General features: G+C 35.9%; 1 non-coding gene across 1 annotated transcript; it reads left to right on the forward strand.

Annotated features, from left to right (window-relative positions):
- The first annotated feature begins 1386 nt into the window (after window positions 1–1386).
- LOC124901541 (small nucleolar RNA U13) lies at window positions 1387–1488 on the forward strand. The gene has a single exon (XR_007059972.1). It is a non-coding gene; the product is annotated as a small nucleolar RNA U13 (small nucleolar RNA).
- The last annotated feature ends 23685 nt before the right edge of the window (window positions 1489–25173 follow it).

Raw genomic sequence — 25173 nt, forward strand, 5'->3', positions numbered from 1 at the left:
TGCATTGTATTCATCTGCTTATAGCCAAACACACTGAAGTTCAGCCACAAGCAGAATTCTCATGAAAGATTGCATGGGAAATAATAGAGAAAACAATTTAGCAGTAGTCTCCCATAGTGAGAGAAAAACAGAAGAAAAAAATAGTAGAGAAAGAAAAAAAGCATTTGAGAGCAAAGGAGAGTATAGTTAGAGAAAGAACTCCGGGGAAGACAGGTGAGGTGATGGGTAAAAGAAGGAAAATACTTTCAGGGAAACAACTTATCTTTCATCAGAAACTCAGTTTAGGCTACTTTTTGAAAACTACCTACCCAAGAACTTTTCCACTTTTAAAATAATCTGTATTTATTCTTCATAATCATCTCTTCTTACTCACTCCACTTTGTTTTATGGCACCCTATACATATCAGTGTAGGCATATACCACAGACAAAAGGAAGAAATGAGGGAAAAGGAAAAGGAGCAAAAACTGTGTGGTACTCTGCAAAATGTCATAATAATAAGTGTATTAGCTGCATTTTATTATATCACAGATGAGGAAAAAGAATTTAAACCAAAGATTGAAAAAATCCTAACTAGTTTGATTGATAAGGAATGAATTATAAAACCCATGGAGATTTATAGGGCATTATTGTTTTTTAAATTTTTGTGGTAACTTCAACATTTTACAGGTATTGGCATGTTTGACAATAATGCCATGTAGCTAGAACCAAGCTGATTTGTATGTGGAGGGTTACTATTAATATGCACACAGTTCCTGTTTAAAGAGAAAGTCTGCCAAAAGCAAAATACCCTATTAAATAGCTGTCTCAAATATGCCCAGATGGAATGAGCACCATACATTGTTCTTTATTCTGCTTAGTCTGTTTTATCTGCTTAACTAAGGACCATCGTATTTTCACCTCATTTTTCTCTTTCTTTTTCCTGAGGATAATCCCCATCACCTCCCTCTTTGGTTTAATCACATTTCTTCTCTTTACACCGTCACTGAAATACTATAGCATGAGACCGTCATGAAAAGATTATTACATGAAATATGGTACGCTGATGTATTGTATTCACACAATGCCTATTTTGAGGTTTTGTACAGAAGGTTTGGTCAATGCCATATGCTCAGAATGTTCCTATTCTTGGACTATGAATGTTATCTCTGAGGGTGTAATCAGAGTCTAAACTGGGTGAGCAGGTTCCTCATTACCTCTTGATCACTGTCATTATGGTGCTGTGCTTTATTTCCAGATCTGGGCATCTTTCCTTAGGCTACCACAGAACACAGAAATTGTACATAATGTACACCCATCTCTTCCATTATGCCTAGCAAAGGGTTCTGACCTATTATGGGGATTTAAAATAACAGAAAACCTCACAGCTTTACAAAATGCAGTTGTTGATCCTTTTGCAACTTATGTGTGATGATTGGGTATTTATACTCATGTGCGAGATATGCTGCCCTCCAACCTTGTTACCACATTTGCACATTACCCATCTGATGTAAAAAAACCAACCAACCAATAAAAAAAAGGAAAAACCTCAGTCGTTAAATCATCTTCTCTTCTTCCCTAAAGTTATTGTGCTGGAACCCTGTAGAGGAAACACGGATTAGCTTCAGTTTGGTGTTGTATTTTGAACATGGAGGTATTCTGTGGTTCACATTCTTCTGGGAAAAGTCCCAGTCACCAATGGGGAAGGATGTCACAAGTCTCTAAGGTCCACTACATACTGTCCACTCAGGGAGGGGCAAATGGATGGGTTGGAGGTTGCTGAGGCCAAAGGAGGAGGATAACAACAGGCTAAGTTTTTTCCTTTCCCATCCCCAGCCATAGGCCAACATTTTTTCATAGAGAAGTCACTTCATAGCATGATGTACCAACTTCAAAGATTTTGTGACACATTTTTAAACTCCTCCGAGAATGATATACAATATACTTCTGGTGCCTTAGAGTTTACTATATACACTTTCACATATGTTGCCTTATTTGATCTTCACAAGAACCTTATGAGTGATCTCTTATTCCCCTTTGTGGGGGAGGAACAAAGGCTGAGAAACTGTGACGTTCTCAAGGCTGTACGGTAAATCAACAACATTTTCATTGGCACCCATTACGTGTCAGGGATGATGGTAGACCGTAAGGACCAAGCCAAGATGAGGACTAAGGTTTCAGAATTCTCAGTCTCCTGTCTGGCCTGTCCCATGGTGTCTTCCTTCCTGATGAGGACAGTTGATAGAACCCGGCATTAGCTTCCAGCTGCATCTCTTTTCTTCCAGGTAAAATGTCCTCTTCTTCCCCACTGAAACACACTCGTAGTCAAAGCTACTTTTATTTCTGTCTGCATCATTTCACCTATTAGAATGTTAACTCCCTGAGGACAAGAATCATTTTTGCTCTTTGTTGTTGTTTTGTTCTGTCATCTTATAGCCTACATGGTGCAATTTTGTTCAGATAAATTGTGTAACATAAAATCCCCGTGATATATAAAGTTCTACAAATATAATTAGTCTGTGGGTGACTATAAAGTAAATCATGATATTTTTGAGGGGAGGTGATGAAAATTAGCTTGAACTTCTCCTTTTCCATGCACTTAGTTATTTTAAAGTGATTGACATTAAGTTATGAAGTACAAACTAGGTAGAAGTAATAGATGTGTCACAATATGTAGGGGAAATAAAAGCTTACTCATAAAATATAGTTAAATTATTTTGAATACTCAGGCTTGTAGTTTGACATTGTGTGTGTGTGTGTGTGTAAAGGAAAAGAATATAAAGCTAATTACATCCAGAAATGGAAGAAATGGGAACTAGAGACCGGGAGGCTGCAGCATTTTTTCATCCAAAACAATCTCAATTCCAACAACAAACCTTTATGAAAGAGTTTAGTTTCCTGAGTGAACTGATGAGCTCACTTTTCCTTTTCATTTTTCTTTCCAAACTGCACAGCTGAAAAGCATTGTCAGTGGAAACACCCTGTTAAGTCAGTGATTTATACACCCTATCTGTTGGTTTTTTTCTTAAGATTCTATTTTAACTATTATCTCTTCGAGAAGAGAAACATGACATTCTAAATATAGTCCTCAAATTTTTATATATTCACACTCAGTGCAAAACATTTCTGAGTTATATGTAATTAATGTACCCAAAGAGAGATTGAAAAAAGTTCAGGGGTTTCTTGTCCACACTTATCCTAGCCTTTATATACCATAAGAGGGTTAGCTGGATCCCAGAACATCCACCAACAGCATTTGATGTTTAAGAGGTCTAAAATTAAAGCTATGTGTGTGTGTGTGTGTGCGTGTGTGTGTGTGTGTAAGATGAAAGTCTAGAAAGGGGTGGAGATGAGAAAGCAGAAAAAAAAGTCATTATATAAAAGTTCATTTGTGATAATGACATTATTTAAGAAATACATTGAAAATGAAATTCGAATATTCCACTGCAATTAAAATGAATAAACAGTCTGTATATTAAGATGGAGAGATAAGGTAAAAAATAACATTGAATAAAAAAAATCAGTCTGGGCAACATAGCGAGACTTTGTCTCCACAAAATAATAAAAAAAGTTAGTTGGGTGCCTGGAGTCCCAGCTACTCAGGAAGCTGAGGCTTGAGCCTAGGAGGCTGAGGCTGCTGTGAGCCATGATTGCACCACTGTACTCCAGCCTGGGCAACAGAGTGAGACCATATTTCAAAAAAAAAACCCAAGTTGTACAAAAATATTTAACAATGACAACTTTTATGTAAAATAAAAAATAATACAAAATATAATATATGAATTCATATATGTATGGTATGATTATTTTTTAAAACACATATATTGCATTTTGGTTAATAAATTTCTATGGAGAGGTAGGATAGAGAAGGTAACTGGGGAAAGATGAATTTAGTTTTAATATTTTATTTCCTTTAATGAAGAAAATATAAGAACCAAATATGGCAGATTATTAATAGTTCAAAGGGTGGTGTTTGCTCTATTATTTCCTATTTCAGTATATACATAATTTTCAAATTAACAAGAACAAGTAAATTTTAGCCTTTAAAACCATTTGTATATTGAGAAAATCTAGAGTAATACAAATTTGGAGGTTTAAGATGTACATCATAAAATAAGTGATTGAGCTCATTTTTAAGTGTTCTGATTACACTTGCATCATTTATGGAGATACAATGTTTTCTTTAAAAATGTTCACCACATTACTATTTGAGGTCCACTAATATTTTAATATTGTGTTAGCAAAGATTTTTGGTATTCCCTTTAGTGCTCAACGTTGGTACACTAACTCAGAGGTGTTTTGATTTTTTCATTTTCAAAATGAATATATTTTCATTTTCATGAATTCAAATGAATTCATTTCAAAATGAAATATTTTCATTTTCATTTTCATGAATTCAAATGAATTCATTTCAAAATGAAATATTTTCATTTTCATTTTCATTTTTTCATTTCAAAAAAATTCTTATTTCATTTCACTCACTGATATGGTTTGGCTCTGTGTTCCCACCCAAATCTCATCTTGAATTGTAATCCCCATAATCCCCATGTGTCGAGGGAGAGACCAAGTGGGAGGTGGTTGAATCATGGGGCGGGTTTCCTCCATGCTGTCCTCATGAAAGTTAGTGAGTTCTCACAAGATCTGATGGTTTATAAGGCAGTTTTCCCCGCTTTTGCTCCCCGTTTCTCGCCTACACCATGTAAGATGTGCCTGCTTCCCCTTCTGCCACAATTGTAAGTTTCCTGAGGCCTCCTCAGCCATGTGGAACTTTGAGTCAATTAAACCTCTTTCCTTTATAAATTACCCAGTCTTGGATATTTCTTTATGGCTGTGTGAAAACAGACTAATATACTCACTATCTGTGCAGTTGTGAAATTTGAAATAAATGTCCTTCCTTCCTCCCTCCCTCCCTCCTTTCCTCCTTCCCTCCTTCCCTCCCTCCTTTCTTCCTTCCCTCCCTCCCTCCCTCCTTTCCTCCTTCCCTCCTTCCCTCCCTCCTTTCTTCCTCCTCCTTCGCGCCTTCCCTCCTTCCTTCCTTCCTCCCTCCCTCCCTCCCTCCTTCCTTCCTTCCTTCTTTACTTCCTTGTTTCTCTACTTCCTTTTTAATTTTTTCTTTCATTAGGGAGATAATTGTTTTACTTGTTTGTTGGCCATCTCTCAATTGAAATATTTAGCATACTGTGATGTACTTTTTTCCACAAACCTTTTCCATTTCTACGTTACTACATCCTTTGCATATTTGAAGCTAATTTTCCCATTAGTTTTTTTAAGTGACCTGTTGTAATTGTACATATTTATGGGGTACCAGAGACTGGGGAAGGGAGGAAGGAGAAAAAGATGGGGAGATGTTGGTCAGTGAGTACAATGTTTCCATTGTTTTTTTCTCCTGAAAATTACTCTGGAACTTGTGTAATAGTTATAATTGTGACTAACTGCACTGTGACTCACCTGACCATAGCAGCATGCATTTAAAAGGAGGAGACGGTAATGTAAATGAATCTGGAGAGTGCTACAACTGTGTAGAAGACATTGCTAGTGGTCTATCCAATATCCATACCCCATTGTTAATGAACTAACAGAACATTGATTTCTTGAAGGTCAGCAGTGTGTCCAGTCAAAAAGCTTACTTCCTCAGCCTCTTTTGCAGCTATTGTTGAATATGTGACTTGGTTTGAGAGAATAAAAATAATTAGGAGTCATTGAATAAGTATTCTAGAAAATGTTTTGAAAGGTACGACCTTAATGGGCAAAATTCCTTTGCTTTTCCCCCTTTCTCTTCTCTCTTCCTTTCTGAAGTGCAAACTTTATGCCCATAGGTATGGTAGCCATCTTGCAAACAGGAAGATGAAGATCACATGTGAAGGAGAGCAGAGCTGAAGAGCAGCAGGACCCCAAGGCCCGGATGCCATAATCTAGAAGCTGGCTTAGATTGGGCTTGTCCACTAGTAGACTCATTGTTACATGAAAAATGCTCAACAATAGAAGATCCATGTGTTTAAGCTACTGTTATTCAGGTGTATCCGAGCCAGCTGGAGGAGAGCCTAGGGATCCTTTATTTTAGAGATGATGAAACTCAGATACCAAACAGGTTAAGCAGTACACTTTATCTATGGTCTAACTGCACAGCATCTGCACAACATCTGCATTCTATAATAATTATTGTTTTGGAAAGACAACATGTTGAAATGTTTTAATGGTTATTTAGCCATACCTTTGGCAATCAACAGTGGATTTGCATAGTTCTTTTTTTGCAGGATTCAAAGGACTTCCAACATGGCATTCTTAACCTTTCTTCTTTGTCGTCACTGAATGGCCTTTATACCTCAATCTGAAGCTTGAATGTGTTCTTCACAATCCCCATATTAGGTATTTTGTTAATTCATCCTTACAGTTTAAAGAAAGGATAAATTCACAATCATTTGAGGTATGAGATAAAATATTTTCTCTTTGATTTTATAGTATATCCCAACAAAATAATACCAGAGAAATAAAATTTTTCAGAACATTCTCTATTTCCTTCTAGATATATTTAATCAATATACCAAAGATCTTTGCTTATAAAACTTAATTTTGAGTAGGGAAATCAAATTGCACTAAAAGTAGATCTAATAGTCTCATCTTATTTAATAAGAACTTCCATTTTTAAAAAACAGACATTTATTATCAGTTATGTGCTGTCAGGCACCGTTTTTTGCTTTCAATGAAAAAGTGAATGTGAACGTGTCTCTACATAGGGAAGGATCAAACATAATGAAACAGATAAATAAATGAACCAATGATGACGGCTTAGTGAGAAGAAGGCAGTGAGAGAGGTGTTTATAGAGTCCGATGGGAAGGGAGAAGAAAAACATTGAAATCAAACTGTCAGTTAGGTGAGACATCCTAGGAGAGATGATACCTCAGATATGTCACTATGGAAAAGTAAAAGTTGGCCAGGCATAAAAGGAAGGAACATTCTAGCTGAATACAATATGTTTAATGATGATATAAAACAAGGCAAGCAGGACTAAATTGAGGAAAGCTTACATAATTTAGGATAGCTGGAATAAAAGTTTATGTGGGAGAGAGACACTAGATAAAGCTAGGAAGCTAAAATAAGGCAGACCAGGAAGAATATTACTCAGTTAAATTAATATCAATTCAACAAGCATTTTGAGTATCTCACTGTGTACCAGGCACTGCCCTGAGATGTGGATTACAAAGGCCATAAGGATTTACAGCTTTGTGCTAAATTGAGTGGGTGTGATTTTTTTTCTCGGAAGGTTCCTCTGGATATTTCTGAGGCCAACCTGTGTCATGAGTCATAGAGGAAGAAGAAACTGGAGGTGGGATGGAGAGTGAGCTAAGCAGTGTCTGCGGTCCTGGGGAGCATTACTGCACCTGCTAGCCCACAGAAAGCTTGCTGGCTATTGATGATTCCTGGCTTTTCCCTGAGAGCAACTGGATGCCACTTTCTACGTGAAACCGTGTTACTTAGGGATGGAAATGAAGCTAGGAATGGGAATGGGAATGGGTTGGCTCCTACTTGTGTGAGGTGAGATAATGAGAATGTTGATATAATGGAAGCTCTGCTTGTTTGAAGCTCTTTATGCTGCTCCCTGTGTTACCTTATTTGGATGATTATATTTTGTTTTTATTATAGGATCGAGTCAATTATCAACTATCACTGTCTTCCATTTTGTGTTCCAATTTAGCATTTTCAGAAACTTAAGTAAAATGCATTTTCATTACTGTTCATGGTATTGCATCCTTTTCCTTTCCATGTAAACCATCTTGACTTCCCAAGACTCTGTTTCGCATCATCTGCCTCTCTAGTGTCTTCTGCAATCTTATTTGCCATTAATTGTTCCGTAGCTGAAAAAATTCCTGCATGCTCAGAGATGGCATTTTCTAAGGAGGTGAAGTTTTCAGTACTTCTCAATTCTGCATCATCTTCCCTTTCTGTCCTCTCCTCTCTCATCAGTTTAAGTAAAGAATCTTGTTCTTAGTTGGTTTCTGTCATTTGACATTACTTCTACCATCAAGTACTTACATTTCTGATAGGACATGCTTCAAGAAAGAATCTTCTTCAGGACCCAAAGGAATGATGCTATTTATAATAGTAAAGGGATAGACAATGGGGTCAAATTTAGTGTCACTCACTGGCATTGCTCAAAAGTCACTCAGATCTCACCTTAAGTCTGGATAAAACCCTCTCCTTTTGGCGAAACCTATTTTTAAAGGTTTATAAAATCTAAGAAATTTAGAATATTTGTTGAAGCTGAGACCTCACCATAGAAGAAAAGGCATTTTACCTTGCAGTACTTGCACTATTATTATAAAAGAAAGAAAGCATGCTAGTAGTGCTAGCATTGAAGAAATTAACAGTCTAAAGAAAGTAGCAATCTTTAATAATTTGTTTCTTGACTTCTTTCATATTCTGACCAGCAGATGAGCAGTTGTTCATGTTTTTAATTTTAAAAAAGGAGGCCACCATTTTTTTGCTGTGTTACAGATACTACTAAATACCATACTTTAATAACTCAAATACTTTTAATAGAAAGAAAAATCTTTTATATACTATGTATGTCAGTATTAGCATATAATAGTAAAATAGAAGTAGTTAAATTTTGTTTAAACAAAGGTCTTGATGATTTCATATATTTATACTGAAATAGACATCTAAACACAGGAGAAAAATTAATAACATCAACTACCTTATATTGACGTTATATTGATAATAAATAGTGTGTGTGCCTTGTCACCCTACCTTCATCTCTCTCCAGCAACATCTCTTTCTGTGCTGTCTTCAGTGTCCTTCCAATTAGAATAAATCCTTATGTAATAATGATACTCCAAATATTTACTAGCAGACCTTTTACAATTAGAAATCATTGTAGTTTATAATTATAGTTTATGAAACATATTACTTGCCTCTGAATTTCCCAGTGTGTGTGTGTGTCGCGGGGGCGGCGCTGGGGGGTTATTTATTTTTTTTCTGAGACAGAGTCTCATTCTGTTGCCAAGGCTGGAGTGCAGTGGCACGTGATCTTGGCTCACTGCAACTTCTGCCTTTTGGGTTCAAGTGATTCTCCTGCCTCACCCTCCTGAGTAGCTGGGATTACAGGTGCGGGTCTCCACTCCCGGCTAATTTTGGCTAATTTTTTTTGTATTTTTAGTAGAGACGGGCTTTCACCATGTTGGCCTGGCTGGTCTCGAACTCTTGACTTCAGGCACTCTGCCCACCTTGGCGTCCCAAAGTCCCATTGTGTATTTCACAGAACATTAGAACTGAGAACAGTTCATGAATATCAGGGTCCTAGAGCCAAAGGAATGTGGGAAATAGTTCCTATCACGTTTTTCTCTTGAAAATTTATAATGATCTTTGGTATACATTAAGAACTGATATCTGGAGTATAGAAACTTGTTTCGTTTGTTTAATTACTGCTTTCCCAAATAATAGACTCATTTGGGTTAATGTTTTGGGATCAGTGTTCCAAGAGCCATCATTCAGGAAGCAGTGGATTAACCAGACTTTCAAATATAAATGGTTTTAGAAGTCAATTTTTCAGGCTTGCTCTCTTAACTTGCACTCTTTTTTCTCTTGTTATATTTGCAAATTGTCTCCAATGTGGGGAAATTATTTTTAGCAAAATGTAATTTAAAGCAGATACTTCAATTTCAGTATTTACTAAGCTACCACTTGCAGCTTCATCTAAATGAAGAATCAATACCATCAAAAGCAAGTATTTCCATTTAAAAAAACTATTGCTATTAATGCATTTAAAAAATTTAGGACAATAGCACTCGAAATTTTAAAACTTTTCTGTTGGCAAATATACAACACTTTAAAAATGCAAACAATAATGGAAATAAATGTATTACAAATTACAGCCCAGGGAAGGTTTCTAGGAAGAAGTAAATGCCTATTTCTTGGATTTTCAAACATAATATGTTACTGTGATTCAAAGGAATACTGGCAAAGAAATGAAACTGAAAACATTAGCTTGGCCTTATTCAAAGTAAAAGATTTTTGTAATTCTGATTTGCCATGTGTTAAGGGATAAGGAATGTAAAATCACAGAGAATAATTTGAAGAATAATAACAGTGTGATAAAGCACTCAAAGGGTTCCATGCTAATATAAATGGAAAGAAAACAGGGCTTAATTTTAAAAATTGAAAGGAAATACAAGAACAAATGGAGACCTACAGACATTTTAAATTCATGAAAGATGTGAACAGCATTCTCATTCATCAAATACAGAACACGTGCAATAAAGGGGCTCTATCTGAATCTTGAAAGTTGAAATATGAGTACTACCAAAAGGGACACTTTACATAACACGTCCTGACAGGCAAAGGATGTAAAATAGTTCAAGGAAGGTTTTAAGATATTCATAAATAAACCGTGATTTTAAAAAAATGTTGTTGCTACTTCAAATAGCTAAGGGAAATGGATTGCTTGTAAACAAATATGAATGTTGACTTTCTAAGTCAATATAATAAAGTATTTAAGAGTGTGGTATCTGGAATTTAACTGTATCATTCGTCATCACAACTTCTGCACTTATGTTTTAAAGTTACTTAATGTATCTAAATCTCACTTCCATCTATAACATTTGGCAAATGACAGGACCTATTTCACTGGATTGTTGTAAAGTTTCAGCACAGCTCTAGGTACAGAGGAAGTAGATAAAAACTGGTAGCTATTGTAATACTGTGATAAAATGCATATTTGATGACACATCATTGAACTTTTGGGCACAGAGAAATCCCCAGACACTTCTCAGAGCTATTTTAAAAGAACAGATATTAAGCTTGGAGGAAACTGGCAACATCTCCCATATTTTTAACCTCTTAGTCAATATTCCCTATGGTACAATTTTGAAATTATATAATGATTTTAAAGTTTATTATATGTCTAAATCTGCCATCAAATGTGTTTGGTGATTTTCTGTGCCCATAGTTTTGTCAACTCAAATATTTATTATAAAAAGCATTCCTGAATATTTTATTTAACTTTTATGACTTATTTGCAAATGTTTACTTATCTCGGAACTAGAAGAGAATCCTTCATCTTGCCCTAATGGTCAAATTCTTGTATTTTTAATTTTGTCTGATGTGATGGTAAGAGAAGAAAGTTGTTTTTCCTTAGCTATTGAAGTTTTCTGAGTGTACTTACTGTAAGTAATGAACTTTAATTACTTTTGCAATTATAGCTTATTTGATTGAATTTTCCACTGACTGCACAAAACATCTGTCCTGCTGGGACCATACATCGTCTCTGGTCTGGGTACAATATGTTGTCAAAATATAGTAACATTTGCAGTCCATTAATTTCTGAAGCAATAGGCAAGTTAGGCTTCCAAAAGGGCTGAGTTTATACTTGGGAATTCTGTTCCTGTGCTTTCCATCTAAGTGGACCGAGACCATTCATGCTTTCCGATTTGTTTTAGTCTCTACTTAGTGTTTAATAAACAAATATAAACAATTAGCACAGTATTTGGCTTGAAACTCTGTTTTATTCTGACTATACCAGCTGTCCTCAGATATTATAGAAATAACAATGGTTAGAAGGCACTTCATTATGATTTTGCAGACATTAGGATGCGGTTATTGGAATTAAGTGATAAGATATTTTTTGATAACAGCACTTTTATGTGAACTTCTTTGAAGACTAAGACTAAAGATACTTAAAAGGTGGAAAAGAAGCTCCTAGGAATACAAAAACTTTTGATTTTGCCTGAAAGTACAGTGAAAGACTGTTATTATTGTTACCATCATTTCTTGTTTTTTACAGAAATGTATTTCAGAATATGTGCTCAGAATATTCCTCTAGTAAGGTCTAGAGACCATTTTCTTATGTTTCAGATAAAACAGGTAAGGCATAAATAAATCACAGAGAAAGAATAATGTTGAATATGTATAAAGGCTTAGGGCAGTCACCAGTAAAGGTCATTAATTTCTATAAAGATTTTGGAGCTACCGTATCAATTTACTCAAGTTTGGTTTGTGTTTCTCAATCAACAACAATTGTTACTCCAATTTTCAAAATAGAAAATATTGTCCATCCAAGTCTCAGTCAGAATTTTATGGTTGTAGAAACCATTCATGTTCACCCACATTTTCCATACGTCCTTGCAGTCTTTTGCTTATGATTGGTTTCTGGTCAGAGAATGGGTCAGAAGTAATGAATACCATTTCCAAGGCTGGCTCTTCACCCTTCTCTTTTTCTCTCCCAGGTCAACCTTAGAGGTCAAGTGTTTCAGATGGCAGAGCTACAAGATAATGGGGCTGCTTTGTCCAAATTAGGCAGAGCCACCAGTAAAAGACAAACATTTTTAATCTTAAATTTCTGAGATTTAGGCCTGTTGCAGCACCCATATTAAATCATTACTATACCATTACTAAGTGACTTATGCAAACCATATCTAATCCCAGTGAGGTAGTTGCCATTGTACCTATGAGAGTGAACATTACTTCAGGAGGGCTATCTATGACTCTTTGGCACTATCTAAACTATATATTATGTCCATTCCTCAGCTCAGCAAGATACAGCATTTATAGTCATACATACTTACATTCATATGTATAGCTTATTCAACTGCTAACTAAGCAGACCAATGACAAAAATAGTACAACATGAACTGTTTTTATGAGGGAGGAGAGAGAGCCTAGGAGTAGGCTCAGGAAGCCCCACTGGAGGATGACCAGGTAAACAGGCAGGGCTAAGAACTAGGGAATCATCAAGGGTTGAAGAAGGAGTGAAACGACCTTTCAAAGAGCATCCCTGAGAAACAGGCTTTCAACATCCAGAGCAACCATGGGGCTGAGAGGAAAAATTGTGACCATGCCATCATCACAGTGGGACCTGCTGAGTACAAACTGCTAGATTCCTACTGAAGGCTCCTTCCTCCCTTTCCTATCACAGACATAGATGAAAACACACTGGTGGGGAAGGGTTGAGCCCTGCGAGGTTATCTGATGCACCCTCTCTACCACTTTTGTGCATCTTAAATGGGGTTTAAACATCCTAAAATGTCTGCAATGTGTTCATTTCCTGTGGTAGATCTACAGTGTGTGACAGGAAATCTATTTCTTTTCCTGTAGATGCTAAATTCATTACCTTGACACAGAATTTAGACACACTCTTTGCACTAGCTTCCATAGCAACCAGTATCAGGCATTTTTTTTTTCTCCTTTTTCTTTCGCTGGAAGCTGGGTAGTTAAATGTAGTGGCAAGAACAGTACTTAATTAAAAATTTTGTAAAAGGCACCTAATACTACTGTACCAAGGGTCTCTTCATACTGTCACCTCTGTCATGACATACTTCATAAACCCATAATCACGTTATAGACCACAAGCAGAATTTAGGCTAGTAGAATATGGGATTCTTTAAGATCATTTTATGAAGGAGTTTCCTTTTCTCTTTTTCAAATTCACAGCATTGAGAGCTATTTGAGATAATGGATGTAATTGATTATTATTGAAGGCAAGTCTTGGACAGGTACTAGACGTAAGTGGCCCAAATGTTGTTACGGCTCTGAATAACCCTACATTAAAATTCCACATGGGTTGGAGTGGCATCTGTTTCTGTCTTCAGTAAAGAGAAGAACACCACAAATTCATCATGGCAACAAATTGTCCTCGTTTCCTAAAGAGCAAAGTGAATGCTTATAAATAACAAAACAATGTTAATGTTTTTCCTACCTTAAATAATAGCAGGGTTGGTTTGAATTGGTGGCTGAAAAGGAAGAGACAGAACACCTGTTTTTAAGGGTCCAACATTTATATGCTAACACATATCAAAAAAGTGAGGCTGTGAGCATACAGAAACTGATGCCCAGAGAAAATTCTTAAAACACTTGGACATTTTGAGGCTGTGTCAGTGCCAGGCTAGGTACTAAATAGCAACAATCATCTAGCATTGTACATGCTCAGGGCTCAAACCACCCAGCCCATCTGGTTTAGCTTGCTTGGACTGTTTAACTTTTATTTTAAACGTAGTGTTCAGAAACTACTTTGAGGTGGGAGAATGCTCTAAGGAAAAACCACTACGTTTTACAGCTCAAAGCAAATACATCACAGTGACTGAAGAAGGGGTGATTGTTTATAATGTTTCTTATCTTTTTTCCTCTCTCTTCCTCATGTTCATTCTTATCTCCCTTCACCACAGAGATACTTTGCACTTAGTGATTATCTCATTTCTCTCCTTATTCTTAAGTCTGAAATAAATCCAGGTCTATACAGTAAGATTCTACCATCATGTATTCCTTTTTCTTTCTTCCTCAAATTATTTCCCTTATTAAACATTATTTTGCTTACTTGGTAAATTAGGGTTGAAGTCTTAGTAATGTATTTTGGTAACACATAGCCAGATAATGCAAATCCTGTGTAAAAGTAGAGCACTTTGGCCGGGCGCAGTGGCTCACGCCTGTAATCCCAGCACTTTGGGAGGCCGAGGCGGGCGGATCATGAGGTCAGGAGATCGAGACCATCCTGGCTAACACAGTGAAACCCCGTCTCTACTAAAAAATACAAAAAATTAGCCGGGCGTGGTGGTGGGCGCCTGTAGTCCCAGCTACGCGGGAGGCTGAGGCAGGAGAATGGCGTGAACCCGGGAGGCAGAGCTTGCAGTGAGCCGAGATCGCGCCACTGCACTCCAGCCTGGGCGACAGAGCGAGACTCCGTCTCAAAAAAAAAAAAAAAAAAAAAAAAAAGTAGAGCACTTTAAGCCCTGCATTAGAATTTTGTTCAGCCACCCAAATTATACTAAGGCATTGCATTGATTGGCGAATATTTCATTAAGTAGCATAATAGGACACTTGAACAATATAACTGACATAGACAGAAAATATAAGAAAAGTAGAATGAAAGTAAACTCAGCGTCAACAAGTGCTTGAAGAATGATAGACTAGGCAGATATTAGACTAGGCAGATATTAGACTAGGCAGATATAGACTAGGCAGGGGATACAGAAATGTATGAATGGAGGCACCTTTCCTCAGGCAACTGGTCTAATGCTCAATAATTGCAATAACAAGATTTAGATAATGTGCCACCGATTATATGTGCTAGCAGGGGAGAGGTAAACTACTAGTAACTGACTAAATAGGAAATGCTTCACAGGTGAGTAGAACTTGGTAGATGTAACTAAAGGAAGGGTTCAGGGCTTAACAGCAGTGGTATGTGAAGGAGAGGCATTCTAAGATAGACATGAGAAATGCAGGAATTTTTGCCCTGGGAAAGAAGTATTCCTGGATCCAGGTTTGACTAGGGCAGGGTATAGTGAGAGTGACACTTTAGGGAGATGAAGGAAGACAATTTGATGTTTTGGCTCTCTCAGGGAGTGGAAATGGGTCAAATAACAAGGGACTGTATTAGGATAGTGGTCATAAAATGAGTTAAGAAAGTACATTCTTTTGGCTGGGCGCAATGGTTCACACCTGTAATCCCAGCACTTTGGGAGGCCGAGGCGGGTGGATCATGAGGTCAGGAGTTCAAGACCAGCCTGACCAATATGGTGAAACCCCCGTCTCTACTAAAAATACAAAAATTAGCCAGGCGCGGTGGCAGGTGCCTGTAATCTCAGCTACTCGGGAGGCTGAGGCAGGAGAATCGTCTGAACCTGGGTGGCAGAGGCTGCAGTGAGCCAAGATCATGCTACTGCAACTCCAGCCTGGGCTACAGAATGAGACTGTGTCTCAAAAGAAAAAAAAATAAGAAAGTACATTATTTTAATAAAAAAGTTGAGGGAACTAAATGACTAATTAAATATGATGATTAATTTCCAAATCAGTATTTTATAATAGGAAAAACTCATCTATGGTTGATATTTTTTATTTTGTTTGGAAAGCACCAAATCTCCCATTTTTTTTTTTCTGGAAAAATGAGACCATTTCAAGGGTTCTGTGATTTTAAAACAATTTTTATAACAACACAAAAGTTTTCTGAGTTTATTATTATTATTTTTAAATGAACTGATAACAATTTTTAAATATTATCAGTCTCAATTTCAAATATGGCAAATAATGACAGATATCTATCTATTTACTATCTATCTATCTACCTATCATTCCACTTAAAAGCTCTTTGGAGTTCTCAGTAATTTTTAAGAGTATAAAGGGATACTGAGACCATTAGTACGAGAACTCCTGATGTTTTACAAAGTATTAGTGTAGTCTTACCCATTAATATGGAAAAGTAGAGATAAGCACTTTGATCAATGCATATCTCTCATGATCAATGAAGTCCAACAAAGGACAGTACAAACTATGAGAGATCCTAGTGATAAAATGGAATCATTTTTTAATTGAACTGCATGAGGAAGCTCTCACACTCCAGCATCCACCAATTTTAAGCATGCTTATTTTACATTGCATTAGTTACAAGCCATTTAGTAGAGGGTCTTCCTTTTCCCCTTCTCCATGTTGTTACATTCAGATTTCAGGATGTCCACTGAAAAAAATTCTAGTTTGATAATTATAGCTGACACAGGAATTAGTCCAGGCCACATAACTTGCTGTACATTTTGCCTTAATCCTCTAGTGAGCAAAAGTAGAATGCATGTATCAAAATATCACATGTATCTCATAACTACGTATAATTATTATATATCAATAAAACTAAGAGACTGTAAAAAAATTTTCACCTTCCACAAAGTAGGTAATAATATGATATTGACAAATAATATATTTAAATAGGAATTGTGTATAATACCCATATCACAATAGAAATACGATATTTAATATAAATATGTATGGCTATGGTATTTAATTTATATGGTATTTAATATAATATGTGGTATTTAATTTATATGGTATGTAATTTATTTGGTATTTAATATAATATATGGTATATAATTTATATGGTATTTAATTTAATTTAATTTATATGGTATTTAATATAATATGTATGGCTCTTATCCATGCAGGAAATTCATCTGCAGCCAATTAGCTGGGAATATTCAGGAGGAACATGCATAGGAATGGAAACTAAATTTCTTCATATGCCTTACAACATAGTTGTTTCAGGGCAGAATGCTTTAGAAATCAGATTCATGTAGATTACCCAGCAGAATGAAATATTTCTCTAATTCATTGTAAACCAACAGTGCTCTGAAAAAGGAGTGCTGGTAGGGGTAGGGCAGGCGGTGGAGAAGGCAGTAACCAGTATCAGTCTCCACAAAGCTGCTAGGTTCTGGGATCCTCCCCGAGAAGCTAGGTTCTGTCTCCCATCAAATATAGGTTTAGTTGTACGTCGTCCTGTGTCTCTATGTGATTTTGAAAGAACTTCCCACTGATTAGTGTCCAGCTTCCTCCACCTTAAGATTATTTTGGGCACTCAAATGAACAGTCAACAAAGTAACAGGGTCAAAGTTTAAAGGTCATGAAAGACAAAGGCTGAAGAATTCCAGATTAAGGGGACTGAAGAGACATGAGAAGTAAATGTAATGTTTGGTCTGGGATTGAATACTGGATCAGAGGAAGGACATTAGCGTAATGCCAATTGGCAAAAGTGTAAATAAGGTCTGTAGATTTGGTGATAGTACAGTACCAATGTTAATTTTCTGATTTTGAATTTTGTACTGTGGAGAATCTGGGAGAAGGGAATGTGAAAATTATTTGTACTATTTCATAACATTTTTTATGTCTGAAATCATTTAGAAATTAAAATTAATGATAAAAATTATAGATAAAAATGTTACAATTGTGAAGGTGCTTACTATTAAAATTATATTTCACTATGGGTAGTGATTGAGAATATAGGTTGGGGCATCAGAATTCAGGGGTTTGAATCCCAGCTCCATTACGTAGTAGTAGTATAAATTTCAAATTAATTAATCTCTAGGTACTTCAGTTTTCTCATCTGTAAAATGGAGAAAACAGTGCTTTCTACCTTTCAGTGTGGTTGTGAATATTGAATGAATGAATGTACGTAACGTGCTTGGAAAAGTGCCAGGTTCCATAAATGTTTGTGAGAATTATGAAAATTATTTGGATGGTTACAGCTGTTATGTATGGAATAATATTAGAATGAAATACAATACTGTAAATTCTATCTCTAGGTGAGATACTAAATGTAAAGCCAACTATTTGTCAGCTATGCAGAAGCTTAGACAAATTATTGGTCAAGAAAGAAGCAAGTAGATGCAATGTTTGAATGTTTGACATTGCCCCAGGAGGGCACGTGAGTAGACACAATTAGAAGGTCAGGGAAACCTGTTAATGAGACATTTTTAGGAGATTTGAACTCCTGGCAAGCTAAGTCCCTATTAGCTAAAGATAGAGTGTATCTGAGAAATAATGTGATGTAGAAGAAATGACTTTCTATTCAGCATATAGGCCCAAGAAAAGTTTAAATTTTATTTCTTGAAAATGTTAGTTTTCACATGTGAATCCATTATAAACCATTGCAGTGCAGCATGAAGAGGGGAGAATGTAGTTAAGATTAGCATTAGAAACCTAGTATTCCAACAGAGCAAGGCCTGCAGGAATGGGAGAAGAGTTTCAAACAATGTAAGTTATTACCTATAGAATGATATGTTGTGGAAAAATTGGACTTTGTATCATAAAATCTAGTTGGTCTGATGCAGTGTAGCTCAATGTACACAACTTCTACCCTGTAAATTTGCGATTAAGCCCAGCTGTGGTATCTTGGACTCACCAAATTTTATATTTTCCAATTTTGTTCATTCTATGAACTCAGAACTTCTCTAAGAAACTCTGAAATGAAGCATTAGGCTATGAAATTAATATAATGAAGACTTGATTTTGACAAAGTATAAGATTATATCATTGCAACTGAATAGATTTCTGACTTTATTTCTTAATTTCAGACTATCATCCTCATCTATTTTTCAAAGATAGTTGAGACTAATCATGACTGTCTTCATCAGGGTCCAACCAGGAAACAGGAATTGCTAAATATTACAAACAGAGGAAAGAATCTCAAGACATCACTCTACTTCTAGGGGCAGAGGGACACAGAGAGAAGGTGGTATTAGCAGAACCCAGGACTAAGGATTTTCTCTTGTAATAAACGACACAGGACCATCAAGGTAGGTGGTATCTGGCAGGGAGCTAGAATCATGTAAAATGGTGCTTGATGAATGGAAAAAAGATGGAGAAACACTCTATTTCTCTTCCCCTTCTACCCTTAGTCTTCCACCATTGTCTCTGGTGGCCAAACATGGCAGAAAGCCAGTTAGTGAGGGAACCTGGAAAACTTAGTTTGCAGGTAAAGGGCAGGAACAGATCTGTGTGCAAACAGGCAATGACCACCATAATGCCTCTGTCCATGCCTAAAACAGAGATGGAAACCGAGTCTCTGCTCTGGAACAGGCAGTGTTCAGGAGAAGCTTTTCCATCTAGATGCTATTTCTTTAATTTTTCAGAGCAAGTCTGTGAAGTTGTTATTATTATTTCAATTTTGTAGATGAGGAGACAGAATCTTGAAGGAGTTCTGGTCTCTGTTTAAAGTTTCAGAGCCAGAAAGGAACAGAGGCCACCTGGTTCTACACATACTCATTTTTCTTTTTTCTGTGTCTGTTCAACACTTGAAAGCTTGCTTGATATTATGCTGAGACTGTAGAGTTTAAAACTCTGGAGCTAAAAGAGACAACAGAATTCATCCAATCTGACTTTAAAGATGCAGAAACTGAGGACTGGAAAGCTTTGCTTAACACATATCTTGACCAGAATAGGAACTATAACTTAAAGTTTCCGTAAGACACTGAGTAATTACATCAATATTTAACATGAATGGCATCTGTCTTCTTGTTCTCTACTCAGTCATTGAGGATCTCAGTGGGGAATGGGATGAAGAGCTCAGGTGGAAGGGATTTGCCTTGAAGAGGAGGATGCCTGTCGTGCATGTTCTACTCTATTTTTTTATGAAGTACGGATCTATGCTATCCACAGGGTTGAGAGGGAAGGAAGACATTAGGAGCATGCTATAAGTTTGGACTGTCTGCTGAGAGAATGGAAAGTGAATGTGCCTAGGAATGAATACAATGAAGTGAATACATAGTGGAGCATTGAAGACTCACCTGGGCGTGAATGGAAGCAATGTGAGATGGTACTAATCAGCAAGACTATTTTTTTTTCAGTAGTGCTCATGGTTCTGGAGAAGAAATAGAAAAGTGAGTCCTTAAACTGATCCCACATTGTAGAAGGGTCTGGCAAGCGAGGCCTACTGGTTAGAGAGCAAGCAAACCGAGAGCTTTCATAACACAGGCAAGAGGGAATCGATGGATCCTGGGAAGGATAGTATCACAGGATAAAGGAAGGACTCCATGAAGTTTAAATTTAGAGTTAATGAGAGAAAAATATTGGAAGGAATGAATGGACAGAAAGTTCTGATCAGAAAATGTGATTTCTAAGCTTGAGCTTTCAGGACCATGTGGTTCAATACAATAGCCACTGGTCACATATGGCTACTCCAAACTGGGATGAGCTGTAAGTGTAAAATATAGCCCAGATTTTGAAAACTTAGAATGAAAAAAAGAATGCAAAATGTGTTACTATTTTAAATATTTATTCCATATTGAAATGATAATATATGGGATATATTGGGCTAAATAAAATGTTATTAAAATTAATTTCACCTGCTGCTTTTTAAAATGTGGCTACTGGAAAAGTTAAAATTATACATGAGGCTTGCATTACACTTATATTGGATAGCACTGTTTTAGCAGTTGTATAGTTACAAATCAAAACAGAGCTTTTCAAAATGTGATCTTCAATCATTTAATTGATATTTAGGGCATAAACGACCAATATTTTAAAATAGCTAGAAAAATTATCATGGTATAAAAATTAAAGAGTAAACAACATTTTAATATGTGTTAATGAAAGTGATCATGGCTTAATTTAAGAGGAAGAAATTTTCCTAGTTTTTCACTGAATTCATGATACAAAACTCATTTGCAGATAGATTAATACATTGATTAGGAAACACATTCAATAGTTTTCTATTCTTAGTCTTTATATATTTGTATTAAATTAGTCATGAGTTGGCAATATGGAAATAATTAGTTGGTGACTGTCAAATAGTGCTGAATAATCAGCTTGTCCCGAAACTCAGGGAGATTTCTGTTTAAAACCACTTCCAGTGTTGTTGACAAACATTTCCCACTCAAAGTAGAAGTCAAAAGATAAATGCAAATGGATTTCTAATCCATTTTTTAGTCGCAATTATCTCTAGAAATTTTATTGCCTTTTTATAGAATTTGAATGTGGTTTTAAAATAAAACTCTTACATAGAGTGTCAAAAGATCTTTGGCAAGGGTGCCAATAGGGAGAGGTTAGTCTCTTCAATAAAAGTGCTGGAAAACCTGGATAATACATGTGTAAAAGAATAAAGCTGAACCATTATTTTATACCATATACAACAATTAAAATGGATTAAAGATCTAAACACAAGACCTGAAACTATGCAACTCCTGGAAGAAAACATAGTGGAAAAACTTCATGACATGAGATTTGACAATGATTTCTTGGACATGAAACCAAAAGCACAGACAACAAAAGCAAAAATAGAGAGATGGGACCACACGCAACTTAAAAAACTTCTGTAGATTAAAAGAAACAGTCAACAGAGTAAGATGGCAACCTACAGGATGGGAGAAAATATTTAGAAAACACACATGTGATATGGGCTTGGGTTAGTATCTAGAATATATAAAGAACTACAACTCAACAAAAAAATCTAACATCCAGTTGAAAAAATGGGCAAAGGACTTGAATAGACATTTTATCCAATAAAATGTACAAACTGCTTGCAAACATATGAAAAGATACTCAACATCAAAAAACACTAGGAAAATGCACATTGAGATGTCACTTCGCACTCATCAGGATGGCTAATTAAAAAAAAAACAAAATAAGTGTTGGCTAGGATGTGGCAAATTGGAACTTGTACACTGTTGGTGGGAAGGCAAAATTGTGCAGTCCCTATAAAAACAGCATAAAAGCTGCTCAAAAAATTAAAAATCGAATTATCATATTTTCCAAAAGAAATGAAAACAGGTTTTCAAGGAAATATTTGCACACCCATTTTTATTGCAGATTAACAATAGCTAACAAGTGAAAGCAACACAAATGTTCATTGACAGGTGAACAGATAAAGAAAATGTGGTCTATACATAAAATGGAATATTATTCTGCCTTAAAAAGGAGAAAATCCTGTTACATGCTACAACATAGATGAACCTTAAGGACATTGTATAAGTAAAATAAGACAGTAAAAAAAGACAAGTATTGTATAATTTCACTTATATGACATTTGTAAAATATTCAAACTCACAGAAACATAAAGGTCATTGCCGGGGGCTGAAAGGAGGACAAACTAGGGAGGTGTTTCATGGGTATAGAGTTTCAGTTTTGCAAAAGAAAACGTTCTGGTGATCTGTTTCACCATAATGTAAATAAAGTTAACAATACTGCACTGTACACTTTAATCTGGATAAGTTGGTAAATTTATTTTTTGTGAATGGTGAATTTTTATGTTTCTTATCACAACTGAAAAAAAAACCTTGAAAATATAGTATCAGTTGCTTCAACAAGTGAAACAAATTGTGAAGGGTTGGAGAAGCATGAAACTTTCAGCAATTGACCTATTAATAAAACAATTCCATCTTTGCAAGAAATTCTCACAATTTTTTCAAAATATTCCCAAGATTAAAGCATGGAATGTTTTATATTCAAGTGATAAATGCAGGTTAGTCAAGATAAAGTATTTAAGAAAGCTACTTGAGATAGCTATACACAGAATTAGGTCATTAAGAAGTGTTTATATCTTTGTTGATATTTTTGAAATCAACACCCAGTGAACTTTTAATAGTTACTGGCCTTCGGATATCTCCTTAAAGTATTGAAAAAGCATATGCCCAGTGGTCCTATTAATTATGTTCATATAGTTTTATGTTTCTTTCAATACTGAGTATACATCAGGCAATATTTTGCTCATTATCAACAGTTCTCTGTGAATGAAGATGTGTATTGATTGACATGAAAGTGCAATTAGTTTTATTTGTGTAGTAACATATTCTGTTGCTCTATACATAGTTGAAAATTTGTCAGTATTGATCTAAATGAACTTTGCTAGTCAATACCTTGCTTACAAAGTAATCATTAGGTACCAAATTACAGCTCCCTTGGTGCAAATTTTCAGAGGTAAACAGAACAAATAATCACCTAGTACTCATTCCTCATGTAAATCTCACACATACTGGGACCTAATTCATGCTCTACATGTTAGACGCTTGTAGAACTATAAAGCAAAATATCTGTTAGCACACAAATATAACAGCAGTTGCTCTTCTAAATTACACAACATTGATATTATGCAAAATACACTGGTGTATTTTGTGTGCAACTCGTTTTGCTTTCTTTCCAACACATATGCGTATTTTAAATTAACTTTGCTGGTTGTTATATAAACTTCTCAGCAATGGTATGCCTTATACCTTTTTGCGCCCTGAGGCTTATAACTGAATGCTGCCTCTTTTGTTTCAGTTTCTTCTCTGCTTTTGGCAAGCAAACTCATTAATTCTATACTGGAAAACATTATTTCGTCTTCATTTTGGAAAAACTCAATTGGTTTACCAGAGAAGTCCCTGTGATTTTTTGTAAATGATGTAAAAGGTTTTATGACTTGATACCAGTATTTGATATACTTTCAATAGAAACTGCAGATATAAATCCATCACTAGTTCAATAAAATTCAGTATTCTGATTCTCATTATTATGCAGCCTATTTTCATTTTATCCTCCTCTGTTTATGCAAGTGATTGCACTTGCAGAGTCACTTGTCCTGGAGTTTGGTTCACTATTTATGACTTTCCTGATTTTAGTAATTTATTGATTATTTTGCCACCTTTATGCTTCAATAAACAATATTGGAGCCATTGATCTATTTTTTCCTGAATTTGCAATATGCTATAGAGTAATAACTGCAAATGAAAACAGATAAATGCTGAAACAATATATTGTTATGCTGAGATAATTCTAAAACTGAATGTTAGATAAAATGTATATTGACTGTTTAAGTTGTTGTTGTGTTATGGGTAAACTTCAAGCATGTGATTAAGAACTTAATACAATTTCCGGCACTTCTCATTCTTCAGCTCTGACGTTTCACATTTCTGAAGGGTTTTGCCCCTAGCACCATATTTACTCTCTTTTTCCCAGCCCTCAAACATTTACTTATAGACTTACTTATTCATTACTTGCTTACAGATGAGTTTCACCACAGGAAAAGATTATTGGGGCACAGGTTAGTATTATACTAATATGTCTGCGCAAGGTGGGGGCATTGACATGCCCCAAAATGTTGGCAATAGAGTCTTACAAGTCAAGGGCAAGAGTCTTCAGTGAATGTGGGGAGTTATATGGAGATTGGAAGATGGCAGAAATGAGGGTGGAAAGAGGTTAGTATAGCCAAATAGAACATGGTGCTATGAAGAGAACCTCATTTGGGGGTTCAAATTCCCACTCCACCTCAAAAACTAGGTTAATTATTTAACCTGTTTGAAACTTGCTTGGGGTGTTGTGTGTATAAAACCACTGCTTTTTGGAGTGGACTTAAGAATTATGGAAAATAAAACAATGTCTTGAGACAATGCCTGTCGTGTTATTATCTGCTTATAATGAGTGAGCACATAAATAAAGATGAATCCTACAGTCTCAAACATGAGTGAAAGAACAATTGTTGAAAATGTTGGTGGGAACTTGGGAGTGTTATGACCCTTGAAATGCAAGGAGAAGGAAGACAAACAACCTCTATTTCAGAGGAAAAGGATCATTAGGATATACTGGAGAGATTATTCTATGAAGACACTAAGTTTGTAGTAAAATCTACTGACAGTTGAATGGAGGTTCCTTTGGATTCACTGGAACTAATTTTTAAGGAGGCAGACAAAGGGAGGATGAGGAAGGGAAGGGGTTGAAATGAATTTGGATAAGGCTTTGCTGGTCCGAAGGGGCTTAGTGTTGGCTGAAGTGGCTTGGCTTGATTATGAAGTGTGGGAAGCAGCATTTAGGTAGTAGAAATGTGGGCTCCTTTAGGACTTCAATAGAATTTGGGAACACTATATATATATATAACTTCTACAGTGTTTTAATCCCAGCTATACATGAAGGGCTTAGAGTTATACTTGGTTAATTCAACTTTGGATTTCAGTTTCTGGCCTCTACTGGCTTTCAAGGAGCA

This window comes from Homo sapiens, chromosome 6 (genome assembly GCF_000001405.40).
Source record: "Homo sapiens chromosome 6, GRCh38.p14 Primary Assembly".
Lineage (NCBI taxonomy): Eukaryota > Metazoa > Chordata > Mammalia > Primates > Hominidae > Homo > Homo sapiens.